At 40.7% G+C, this 13194-nt stretch overlaps 1 protein-coding gene across 1 annotated transcript in view; it reads right to left on the bottom strand.

Moving 5' to 3' along the window:
• Positions 1 to 13194, bottom strand: part of ANP32B (acidic nuclear phosphoprotein 32 family member B) — a 32603-nt gene that overhangs the window by 10578 nt on the left and 8831 nt on the right. The window contains exons 2-4 of the mRNA NM_006401.3: positions 10586 to 10735; positions 6688 to 6810; positions 213 to 402 (exon numbers count right to left, since the gene is read on the bottom strand). Of these exons, the coding sequence (NP_006392.1) occupies positions 213 to 402; positions 6688 to 6810; positions 10586 to 10735 (463 nt within the window). The remainder of the gene's footprint in view (positions 1 to 212; positions 403 to 6687; positions 6811 to 10585; positions 10736 to 13194) is intronic.

Genomic DNA, 13194 nt, shown 5'->3' with positions numbered 1-13194 from the left:
TTTTTTTTTTTTCTATTTTCTGTAGAAACAAGGTATTGCCATGTTGCCCAGGCTAGTCTCAAACTCCTGGGCTCAAGCAATGCCCCCTGCCTCGGCCACCCAAAGTGCTGGGATTACGGTTGTGTGCCACTGCGCCCGGCCAACATCCAATAGCTTTTATCAGAGGCTTTGAAAGGCAGACATCAGGTTCACCAGATGCTGAGCCTACTCACCTTCGTCCTCCTCCTCTTCATCCACACCATCCACCTCGGCATCTGAGTCAGGTGCTTCCTGGTCCTCTCGGTCATAGCCATCCAAGTAGGTAAGCTGGGGCAGGAGCTTGAAGACACTCTCTCGGTAGTCATTCAGGTTGGTAACCTCACAGTTAAAGAGGTCCAGGCTTTTCAGACATTCTAACTTTTTCTGAAGAAAAGGATCAAAAACCACAACTCCTAAACCAAAGGAATATAAGTAACAAATCCATCTCTTGAAGAGGTAAAATTCTAGGCTCTATATTCAATTTCCACTACCCACTCAGCCTCATATATAGAAAAATACATCAAGTCTTTTGCAACCTTTATATTAGGTTACTAGACTTTAGTCCCTCTCTTCCTTTATCTACTCTCCCAGAGAACTATGTGTTTTTCTGGCAGCATAGTAGTCTAAAGAAATATAAATTGAAAATAATTTTTATTAAATCCAGGTATTTTCACAGTATGAGACAATCAAACAGTTTAATAAATTTAGCTGAAACAAATGTTAACATTTGAGTAATCAAATGGCCATTAAGAACTTCCTGGGTATCAAGCGGTCTTTAATGTTCTAGGGTGGCAGTATAGGGAAAAATTCAGAGATTTATAACACAATCTTAGGGTGCTTACAATTTTAGTTAGGGCACAGACATGAAACACTAGAGGATGAAATATAATAAAATATAAAGTGTGGCAATGCAGCTACTTTCAGGGAAGACAGGAGTCAATATGGGCTGAGGAAAAAGCAGAGGGGCGCAGAGTTGAAACTTCGGAAATACGGAGAAACATTGCACTCTTCTTTTTTAGTATTTGGGGAAAAGACTGACATGTTACCAGACTTTTATGATGTAAAGTTCTTCTGATTTTATTTACCATACCTTGAAATTTTGTTGCAATACCTCATTTCTTTGGAACCATCAGTTTCATCTATCTAAAAACAGTTAAGCTATAAAAAGTTGGCCCAAGTCAAGTTTTCTGAGTAGTCAAAGTGCACTGGAAAATGTCTATGTATTTACTCAGATCTTCATTTGTTATTATATCAGTGTACTAGTATTTCAATCCCAGGTCTATTAAGTTTTGATTAAGGGTAAATTAAGAGATTGAGAGGGCAGAGGTACTACACTATAGGCAAGTCAGGAGACAGCAACAGGAAGTGACAGCAGACCCTTGTAGATAGAAGAGGGAGCAGCCTATGAAAGGCAAATCCAATGTGAAGTAGCACATAGCCTGGTGCCTTTCAGAATAGGGGCAATAACTACATATATCTGGATAGCTTCATAAACACAACCTTTAATGGTTCTGAATCAAGAGAAAAACTTCGGTATTCTCTAAGAAGATAGTACTAAAAACACCCAAACAAACTTTAAGAGGACCTCCACATAAAATAATTTCTAAAAAAATAAATGTTGATGCTTAACAGGTTTTGCTGCTTTATTAGGAAAGCTGTTACAACACTCACAAGGACCTGAGAAGAAATGCAGACAAAACAAAACCTTATTTTCAGAACTCAAGGTATCTATGTAGTTCTGAGGAGATATAAAATGGTGTGAAAATCTGCCTCAAGGCTCTAGAGCAGGGGTTGGGAACCGGTGGTCCAGTGGCCAATTCTGGCCCACCACTTGTTTTTGTAAAATAAGCTCCATTGGAACACAGTCACACTCATTTATTTATGTATGGCTCCTTATGTACTAAAATGGCCAAGCAGACTAGTTGTGACAGAGACTATATAAACAGGCTACAAAGCCAAATGAACCTACTATTTGGCCCTTAGAGAAAAGGGCTACTGACCCCTGCACATGAAGAACTTCATCTTCTTGATGAAGAAAGAGGCTCCCACACTTGTTTTATTCATGCAGGGAACACACAGCAGGGTTACAGCAACAGGAAAACGTTGCACCCCTCAAAACACAAATTGTACAATGATCCAAGAGTCTGTGGATCAAACAATGTGCTTATATAGTCAGTTCCTTGACGTTTTAAGAAAGCTGTCCCCAGCCCTTCTGGTCATAGAGCTGCTTTTGTATCATGTAATTTTCAGATTAGCTTCCCTTCCAGTCAGGCCCTGACTTCCAGAAGCCCAGGTATGACTTCTTGCCAAAGAGGAAAAAAATGCTGCAATGCCACCCCAGATGGCTAGCTAGCATACTGGCTTTCTCTTCACAAAGGCTGACTCGATGCCAGCTAGAGTCAGCTTTAGGCAGCTTTTCCAAAAAGGTTCACTCTAAAAATTCTCCACTTAAAGGAATGAGCCATTTATATTTCAGAATTATTTCCTAGAAATAGGTGCACAAAAACACATACAACCTCTGATATTTATCTAATGCTTTTTAATACCAAAAGCCCTTTCTCTATCTAGTTTCATTGACTCTTCCAGTACACAGGGCCTCCAAGGCTCTCCTGTTTCTGAAACTGTACAATTATGTGAGATTTTTGGCTACTTCCTGGCAAAGCACCCCTTCTCAAACAATTTGGACATGCCAATCAGTAGTTTGAAAAATGAAATGAAAGCAAGAAAACAACAAAAATCCCAAATAACTGTAGTACTCTGGAACTGCTGAAAGTAGTAAAATTGTGCTTTAAGGCCCAATAGGCACAAAATACACTACACACAGATTATTCAGGATCCCAATGTAATGTGTAAATACTGATTAAAAAAAATTACAACTCTACCATACCAGAAATTTGATGTAAGCTAATAGGCTAGCCATAATAAACATTAAACATTTTATTAACAATAATTTTGCTTGCCTTCTTAGAATTTAGAAGGGCTTTGGGGGATGGTTTGGATGGCCCAGGTCTCTTAAAAAAGGTGTCCAAGGAAGTTTGAATTGATGCCTTCTTTGTCTCTCGATTAATGTCCCTGTAGCAAGCAGAGGCATTCACAATCATTGCATTGACTATAAGAACTGGGCTCAAAGTAGACGGTGTTCAAAATGTATGTGGTTAATGAGGATGAGGATGGTGTTTTTCCCCACTGAAGAATACTGCCAGAAGTCAAAATGGACCCAACTCTTCCCCCCTTCACCTTCTCCTACAGATTTACTTAATTCCAAGTTAGAACTTCAGGAGACCAACCTAGCACCGCCAGGAATCTGAGTGCCAAGTATAGCAGAATGGCGGGACCCCAGGCTTTTCGAAATAGCTCTGGTGTGTAGCCCTGTGGCTCTGCCACAGGGTGTGTGACTCTGGACAAGGGATTCAGCCTCACCCAAGCCTTAGCTTCCTCAATATAAAACAAGGGCCATGCTATTTCTATCCACTTTGTATCGAAGGTTTTTTTTTTTACAATTACTAATAAAACATGCATAAAGCACCCAGTAAATGTATGGGTATAGCAGATCCTCTAAAAATGGTGAACACAACGAAGATTACTTTTTATCCTTCACTATCCTGGGGGACTGAGACTTTCACAGCCACCAGAGGGTCCTCTCATACATTACTGACCAGATCAGGAAAAAACTCAAGCAAACAACTCCCACACAGTATTTGCTTCTGCTCCATTGCTGTGTGCTACAACACTGAAAAAGGCTTCTGATAATCAGAGGATTCAGGCTGCCACGAGAACTAGGTAATGGCCAGTCATCAACTGGCCAACAGTGAAAAGGTACTGCCTGCTACTCTGTTCTTTAAAAATTAAAAGAGAAGGCCAGGCATGGTGGCTCACGCCTGTAATCCCAGCGCTTTGGGAGGCTGAGGCAGGCGGATCACGAGCTCAGGAGATCGAGACCATCCTGGCAAACACAGTGAAACCCCATCTCTACTAAAAATACAAAAAACTTAGCCAGGCATGGTGGCAGGTGCCTGTAGTCCCAGCTACTTGGGAGGCTGAGGCAGGAGAATGGCGTGAACCCAGAAGGCGGAGCTTGCAATGAGCCGAGATGGCGCCACTGCACTCCAGCCTGGGTGACAGAGCGAGACTCCGTCTAAAAAAAAAAAAAAAAAATTAAACCAGAAAAAAAAAGGGGGGTGGCGGGGAGAAGGGTTTCTTATGCTCACAACCTAGGATTAGTATGTCTGTCACTAACCAATAAACAAAGGCTTAGTGTAGCCCATGTGAACGGGAAAGCATCAGCAGTTAAAATTTGGTGCTCCTGTTGGAATTCCCAGCTTAAGGAAATTTGGGCATGAAATAAATTTACAGGTGGAAAGAGAAGAAGAGGTCCCAAGGGCTATGGAAAACACAGCAGACTTCGAATTTTTTTTTTTTTTTTTTTGAGATGGAGTCTTGTTCTGTCACCCAGGCTGGAGTGCAGAGGCATGATCTCAGCTCACTGCAACCTTCGCCTCCTGGGTTCAAGTGATTCTCCTGCCTCAGCCTCCCAAGTAGCTGGAATTATAGGCGCCTGCCACCACGCCTGGGTACTTTTTTGTATTTTTAGTAGAGATGGGGTTTCACGTTGGCCAGGCTGGTCTCAAACTCCTGACCTCAAGTGATCTGCCCGCCTCGGCCTCCCAAAGTGCTGGGATTACAGGCGTGAACCACCGTGCCCAGCCTAGACTTAGATTTGAATCCCTACTCTGCCATTTCTCCTGAGCAATTATCTACATTCTCTAAACTCAGCTTCCTCATCTCTAAAAAGAGGACAGTCATTCTCTCTTCTCTGGGTTACTTAAGGATACAATGGGCAAATGTTCATGTCCTTGGATGCAGCAAAAGTCAGTAAATGTCGGCTTAAATACTGGAAATGGGGGTTGGTTTGAAGGAAACGAATAAAACTAGTAAGAGCCCGAGTATCTGGGTATACCTGTAATAGGAAAAAGGGCAAAATGCATGGAGCACTGGTGAGGCATCACATTTATGAGAAATAAGCTCTTAAATATGGACAACTTAAAGAAATGTAAAAATAAAGAGACTCAGCCGGACATGGTGGCTCAGGCCTGTAGTCCCAAACACTTTGGGAGGTCGAGATGGAAGGATCACTTGAGGGCAGGAGTTCAAGACCAGCCTGGCCTAACATAGTGAGACCTCTCTAAAAGAATACATATACACATGCACAAAGAGATTCAGTAAAAGGTAATTAAATCTGTATTGCAGCAGTCTCAATAATTGTTTAGGAAGGAAAAGATCTTCTAACTCTTGACAGGAAGTCCTCTTCATTAAAAGAAGCTACAATTTAACTGTCTTCCCCTCAAGTATCAACAGAGCATTCTATACAAGTGATGTGAAATCCACTTATTTTAATATACTCTGACATCAGAATAGAGACAACAGAGAAGAAATGTCTTACCCTCTAGTGTCTGTTCTGGATTCTCAAAGACACCTCCTATATGCTAAATAACCCTCTTCCAAATAGCACAGCCTGTGGGGCTGCCCTACAAACTGCATTAAGCCCCCTGCCTCCAGTCCTGCCTCTGGAAGCCCTTTTCTGGCCACTACAACTTACACAAACTGGACAAAAAGCAAAATAAGTACATTAACTTACAAAGCAAAGTAAGTACATTATCTTATTCTCAGAACTCCTAAGTGAGGTAAGTAAGGCAGGGATTATTATCCTCCCTGCTATAAGTGAGGAAACTGAGGCCCAGAGAGAAGAAGCAGTTTGCCCAAGGTCACACATCAAGTCTACAACCCAAGTGGCACTGAAACTCAGCTTTTCATATCTTATCCCAATATGTAAGACTGAGGAGGATCTTGGCGTTTCCATGCAAAACTCTAGGCAACTGTAATCCAGCTAGAACACAAGATCATGAATTACACGACCCAAAGCTTAAAATAGAGCTGTCTTTGTTCCATCTACAATTCAGGTATGCCACACAACATAAATAGCCTTTTCTGTTAAAGTGTAAAAGTACATAATGGCTTGGCCAGTCTGAAGAAAAAAATTGTTAAGAACATGTTTAAGGCTATATAGTCAATACATGAATTTCAAAAGTGGATCCAAAACAAAATACCCCCAAAAATTCTCTTCTGAAGGATGCCACCACAATATCAGGCAGGGAGAGAGCAAAGCCACAGAAATACATCTAATTAGAGAGGCCCTGATCTTTAAAATTGGGACTTACATAAAAAGTAAAAAGCCACCACTTTCGGCCGGGCGCGGTGGCTCACGCCTGTAATCCCAGCACTTTGGGAGGCCGAGGCGGGCGGATCACGAGGTCAGGAGATCGAGACCATCCTGGCTAACAAGGTGAAACCCCGTCTCTACTAAAAATACAAAAAATTAGCCGGGCGTAGTGGCGGGCGCCTGTAGTCCCAGCTACTTGGGAGGCTGAGGCAGGAGAATGGCGTGAACCCGGGAGGCGGAGCTTGCAGTGAGCCGAGATCCCGCCACTGCACTCCAGCCTGGGCGACAGAGCGAGACTCCGTCTCAAAAAAAAAAAAAAAAAAAAAAAAAAAAAAAAAAAAAGCCACCACTTTCTCAACCAATTATTATTGCCAGTAATTTCCCCCACTATAAAGAAATATGAAAATGAAAATGACCAGTAAGTTCCAGTTTCCAAATTCTCAGTTACTTACCAAAGGTTCCAAGGTGCTGATATCTTTCAGTTTATTTCCACTTAAGTTTAGATGTGTGAGATTTGGAAGTTTTTCAGCTAACATGTCCAGACCTCCAAAGATTCTATTTTCACTGAGTTCAAGCTGCAAGAGAAAATGGACACAACACAAACACAAATACACACAGAGAAACAGAAATCATTTAAGGTATTGTAAGTAACAAATACAGTTCTCAAAGATTTATCAAGATCAAATGATCCCTATTTCTATTAGGGCATGCATGTTCATTTTGTTTAAATCCAAATAATTAACAGGAGAAGGTAAGGTCAGAAGTATTGTGTTTTCCTAATCAGCTGCTAATAACAGCTTACTCAAGAACTGGTCTCTAACATCAGCAAATAAATTTTCTAACTTAAAAAGTGGGTCAAAACCAATTAGAATCCTTTGACAAGTTGTAATACCCTATACCTGCCAGAAAGGGTAAATGGTTTAATAGTCTGTGCATTCTGAGCAGCATATTTTGTGTGCCTTCAAAGCTTGCAATGCCCACTTGAAACCTAATTTCTGGACAATACTGACATACACTGTAGAGTTCTACACCTGGAAGCCACCAGGGAATGTTGCTCTGAAAGCTACAAGAGAGGAACGGGCCCTACAAGTAAGCCCATAAAGAAGCTTCATAACCTCAGGAAAGGGAGTAGGTCAACAGCCTCAGGTTTATGAAACCAGCTCCCTGGAGGCCACATCTTGCATAAACCTGGCACTAGCCTTTATTAGAACCTACTCTAATTTCTAAGCTGCAGGTCAAGTAGCACAGGCAAGTAATGTGCCAATGAGGGAATGAGCCTTCACCAAGGAATATTAGAATCTTAGAGTAGAAGGAATTGGAGCCTGGAAAGCATTGTGAAGAACATCTAATTCAAGCTCTTCCTTTTGCAAACAAGAAAACTCAGCTACACAGCTGGTTCTGATTCTCTATTTTAAAGTGCCAACAACAATAGTAACTTTAACCCTTACATAGTATTTAAATGCCAGGCACTGCTCAAAGCACTAGAAATACCTTAACTCATCTGATCTCACAAGAACTCTATGGGGTAGGCAGAATTACCACTCCTGTTTACAGATGAGGAAAATAAACTTGCCCAACATCGCCCAGCTGTTACTGTAGTGGGCCTATGATTTGAAGCCAGGCAGGCTGGCTTCATAAATATCCATGTCCTCATTATTATGCTACGTACCTAGAATAGCATGAAAGCTTCATGTAATGAAGTTTTTGCCATGCAATGAAATGTACTATATGATGCAGAGTAGAGTAACTTTTAAAAATGTAAATATCTGCTGAAAAACAGTTAAAAAAACAGGTCAGCTGCTTAAGGTGTTATTAAATATTTCAGAAGAAGAAAATGTAACATTTCAAAACATTTTTTCCTTTCAATGGGATATTTCAGTGAAATAGTCATGGTCTAGGTTTAAAAACATAAGCCCATAATCAATAGAGTCAAGTGTTAGCTTTATTGGTGATTTTAGTAAATCAAAATAAAAACAGAGATAACTTTTCTTAACCCATGTTTTAGACCCTGTGGTTAGAATATCACATACACATGTAACATCCACATCCTTTCAACATGTGTATCTTAGGGAGTAGGAATAACAAGGCAATCTACCAAAACAAGGCAGTCTACCAAAACATTTATTAGCATATTTATTTTGAAATGAAATAGATGTGTAAATTTAGAAAATTTGTGACATTTACACATCAATTTTTTTTCAGTACTTATTTCTTGTTAAAAACAATTTGTGGGCCGGGCACGGTGGCTCACACCTGTAATCCCAGTACTTTGAGAGGCCGAGGTGGGCTGATCACCTGAGGTCAGGAGTTCGAAACCAGCCTGACCAATATGGTGAAACCCCCATCTCTACAAAAAAAAAAATACAAAAAGTAGCCAGGCGTGGTGGTGCATGTCTGTAATCCCAGCTACTCAGGAGGCTGTGGCAGGAGAATCGCTTGAACCTGGGAGGCGGAGGTTGCAGTGAGCCGAGATGGCACCACTGCACTCCAACCTGGGCAACAAGAGTTAAACTCCATCTCAAAAACAAAACAAAACAAAACCAATTTGTGTTCTGGAATAGGAAGAAAATAAAGTTCTTATCAATCATGAGTACACTCAACCTGCCTTTAAGTATGATTCCCTCTCATTAGCCCTATAAGGGAAGTGATTAATGTTTTAAATGTTAAAAGTTTTTAATTTGTGTACTTAACGTGCCCTCCCACCCAAAACCAACAAAAACAAAAACCCTGTCCTTCTCAGAACTCAAACAAGCTCTATTCAGAATTCTGAAAGGTTTATTAAAGTCCCTATAAAAACGGTCACTGATAGGCTGAATTTCTGAATAAGTCTGAGAGTACAGAGACCAACAGTAATTTGGGAAAATAAATCAGAATGCTAGGAAAACAACACAAAACACACACTAAGGATCTGCTAGCATCAAGTTTATGTAAATAGATGCTAAAAAGCTATACTATGTTTAACTGGGCTAATCAGAGCTTCCAATGTCACTGATAACCCATGCAAATATAAAAGAATTATACTTGAACCTCTAGTATACTTAGAAGGGGAAATTTCTTTCTCATCAGAAACGGTCACCTGAAACTCACGAAGACTGCTTGAGCATTTAATATTACCTAAACAAGGCAAATAAAGAAAGCAAAACAAAAAATACTTCCAGTTTTTAATTCATGTATTATACTTTTTTTTTTTTTTTTTTTTTAAATCGAGACAGAGTCTTGCTCTGTCGCCCAGGCTGGAATGCAGCGGTGTGATTTTGGCTCACTACAACCTCAGCCACCGCCTGGGTTCAAGCAATTCTTGTGCCTCAGCCTCCGGACTAGCTGGGACTACAGGTGCGTGCCACCGTGCCCAGCTGATTTTTTTGTATTTTTAGTAGAGATGGGGTTTTGCCATGTTGGCCAGGCTGGTCTCGAACTCCTGACCTCACGTGATCCTCCCACCTTGGCCTCCCAAAGTGTTGGGATTACAGACGTGAGCCACCATGACTGGCCTCATGTATTATACTTAACCCACTCCACCTGCTGTAAAACCACAAACAAACAAACAAACCCCAATACCAAAAAACTAACTGTCCCACTCAGAACTCAAGCAAGCTCTAGGCACAACCTACCTTTGCCCAAGTTTGATTAGTTTCCTTCTACGTGTGCCTTAGTTTAAATAAAGGTACAACTTAACTTTCCTAGTAAAGCGAATATTGAAATGGCAGAGAATTCTGCAAGACTTATATAACCACATATCTTTTCCTATATAATGGGAAGGGTATGGGGTTAGGAGATACGGGTTCTAGTTTTGGCTCTAGTACTAACCACTTCTGTGGGTGGCTTTAGGCAAATTACTACACTTTCCTGGGACTATTGCTGTGCCTATAAAATAAGGGGTTGGGTTAGAGGAGCAAAGTTTCTTCCAGTTCTGACATTCTGGGACTCTGTGACAGTTAAATGTGCAGTGACAAGAGAAAACATTTTTATGTTGCATTTGGTCCCTTTTTCCGAAAGGATAGAGAATTGTTTTTATAACAATTAACAAATAAATTACTCAACACAGTAATTATTCTTCCTAACTACTACTTATTGAGCACCCAACATGCATTATTTCCAAACTTCACAGCAATTCTGCAAGGTCAAGTAATACCACCAGTTTACAGGTGAGGAAATTGGGCCTTAGAGAGATTAAGTAACCTGCAGAAGTTTGCCCATCAAGGAAATGCTAGGGCTAGAATTCAATCCCATATCTGCCCAGTTCCAAAGGCCATGTGCTTTCTGCTACACTAAGTGCTTCCTTACAGGTAAAATCATACATTTTCCCTTCCCAGGATCGTTCTCTTTTACTGTTAAAGAAAAAGCACTTACCTTTTTCAATTTAGGCAGCTTGGGGAGATTTGAAACTGAGATCAAGCCTACATTTATTAAACTGAGGAACTCTAAGTTCACAAATTCAGCTGTTAAGCCCTCAATTTTTCCATCATTTGATTTGCAATTGTCCAAGACAAGTTCTCGAACCTGTGGATGACAAAGAAAAAAGGATAAGCTCTCAAAAACACATTGAAAACAAACAACAATGCAGAAACTTCTACCATAAATATCCTGCAAAAACACCCATATATACAGGCAGCCTCTTACTTAGACCTAGATCATAGTTATAAAAAGATAAAAACTGATTAAGCCTTCAGTAACAATATACTGACAGGTTCAAAGATGGAATATTATTCCATGGGTATAAACACTTACGCTCTTTGTTTTTCCAGAAACAGAAACTATACTTTTTAAGATATAAGTGAAGTAAGCGTATTCCCCTTATTTCTTTTCTCCAGCCTGTTCCCCAAAGGGCAGCTTTTATCTAAATGCAAATGCAGAATGAAGACACTCTTTAGGCTGGGTCTACCTTAAGGCCCAGAAGATGACCCCTGGAAAAGAGGAAAGCTTTATGTTTCCTATCAAGACCACTAAGAGATTCTGGCTAGAGGTTTCTGCACCAACGCACTTTCCAACTCTGGTTTTAGTAATCTTTGCCAAGATTATCTTGACACTGGGAAAAAAAATCAGGATGCAAGAGTCCTTAATTCAAAACAAAGATCAATCTGGATTGCACTTGAGAAAGATGTTTCTAGCAGAGAACTGCTACATAATAAATTAAATTGCATTTTCAGGCTACACAGTCTCTTTTTCAGAATTTAAGTCCATCCAAGAGTATCACATCTGGCCGGGCGCAGTGGCTGACGCCTGTAATCCCAGCACTTTGGGAGGCTGAAGTGGGCAGATCACCTGAGGTCTGGGGTTCAAGACCAGTCTGGCCAACAAGGTGAAACCCCCTCTACAAAAATACAAAAATTAGCCAGGCAAGATGGCGAGTGCCTGTAATCCCAGCTACTTGGGAGGCTAAGGCTGGAGAGTCGCTTGAACCTGGGAGGTGGAGGTGGCAGTTAGCCGAGATTTCGCCATTGCACTCCAGCCTGGGCAACAGAGTGAGACTCCATCTCAAAAACAGTATCACATCTGATGATTTGAACTTTTGAATATTGATTATTTAATAGTCTACATGCAGATCCACCACAATAATCCATATTGCCATTCTTGCTCTATGATCATCCTGAAACTTGCAACTTTTTAGCTCACTTTGATCTACTCACAGTGATGCAAATTACCATTTTAACTGCACCAACAAAGGCATTCTTTTAGTGAACCTACCATATTTAATAGCATTAATCAAGCATGTATACAGTAGGGAGATGCTGACAGTCTGAAAAGAGAAGAGGAGCTATTAACAGTGTCCTCATCCTCTCATACAAAATCCAATGATGCTACTCTAGTAATTGCTATCAATTATAGAGTACTTAATCATTTATTCTTTTTACCACCACTCTCCTTCCCCCATTTACAGAGAAGGAAACAGATTTCAAGTCAGCAATGCCCACAACATAGTAAGTGCCTAACCGCTTCTCACTACCCTGTCTACTTCCTCTTCAGAAGCCAGGCATCCTTTTTACTCTTTACATCCACTTACTTCTTCCTTCCTTCCACTTTTCTTTAGGTATCTCTGCCATTCTTCCCTTTTCTGATAAGAAATGGGCACATCTGAAAACTTAATAGGTCAACTCTGACAAAAGCTGGGCTCTGGAGACATATGCCGGGGGTTGAATCCTGGTTCACCTCTGCCACTCAGAACTTGTGCGACCTTGTGCGAGTCACTTAACTTCTCTGTGCCTCAGTTTCCCATAAAGTGGAGATAATAGTACCTACCTCATGAAGTTGTAGAGACTAGGGCTTGGAACATTATAAATGCCCAGAAAGTAACCTCTGGGTAAAGGGAATGGGAAATGTCAGTGACCTTTGCTGTTTACTTTACTTATATCTGTACTAAGTTTTTTACAACCATGTATTTATTCTGTATTAAAAAGCAACTAAACATAAAACCAACGAACCATTAAAATTTTAAAAAGGTCGACTGTCATCACCCACCAATGTAAACAGTATACTGCAATACAATTAAAATGTTCCCATTTAGCTTGGGAGAGTTTCTATAATTTTATCCAAAATAATCCAAAAACGTTATACAAAATACACCAATATGCCAAAAGTGAAGTGAAGAAGAATTAAGAGTTAGCCACACTGCCTCTCAGCTCACAGAGTGAAATCACCTCTTAAAGACATTTCTTTCAACTTGCAAAATTCCACTTGAACCACTGCAAGGCGTCATCAGAAAGTATCACAGGACTCAAATGCAGGTTAAAAAATGTTTTTGCTGGCTGGGCGTGGTGGCTCATGCCTGTAATCCCAACACTCCTGGGAGGTCAAGGCGGGCGGATCATCTAAGGTCAGGAGTTCAAGACAGCCTGGCCAACACAGTGAAACCCCATCTCTACTAAAAATACAAAAATAAGCCAGGCATGGTGGCGTGTGCCTGTAATCCCAGCAACTTGGGAGGCTGAGGCAGGAGAATTGCTTGAACCTGGGAGGCAGAA

The sequence above is a fragment of the Homo sapiens genome, chromosome 9 (assembly GCF_000001405.40).
Source record: "Homo sapiens chromosome 9, GRCh38.p14 Primary Assembly".
In the NCBI taxonomy this organism is placed as follows: Eukaryota; Metazoa; Chordata; class Mammalia; order Primates; family Hominidae; genus Homo; species Homo sapiens.
The sequence above is the reverse complement of the archived record's forward strand: the minus strand, read 5'-3'. Positions and strand labels throughout refer to the sequence as shown.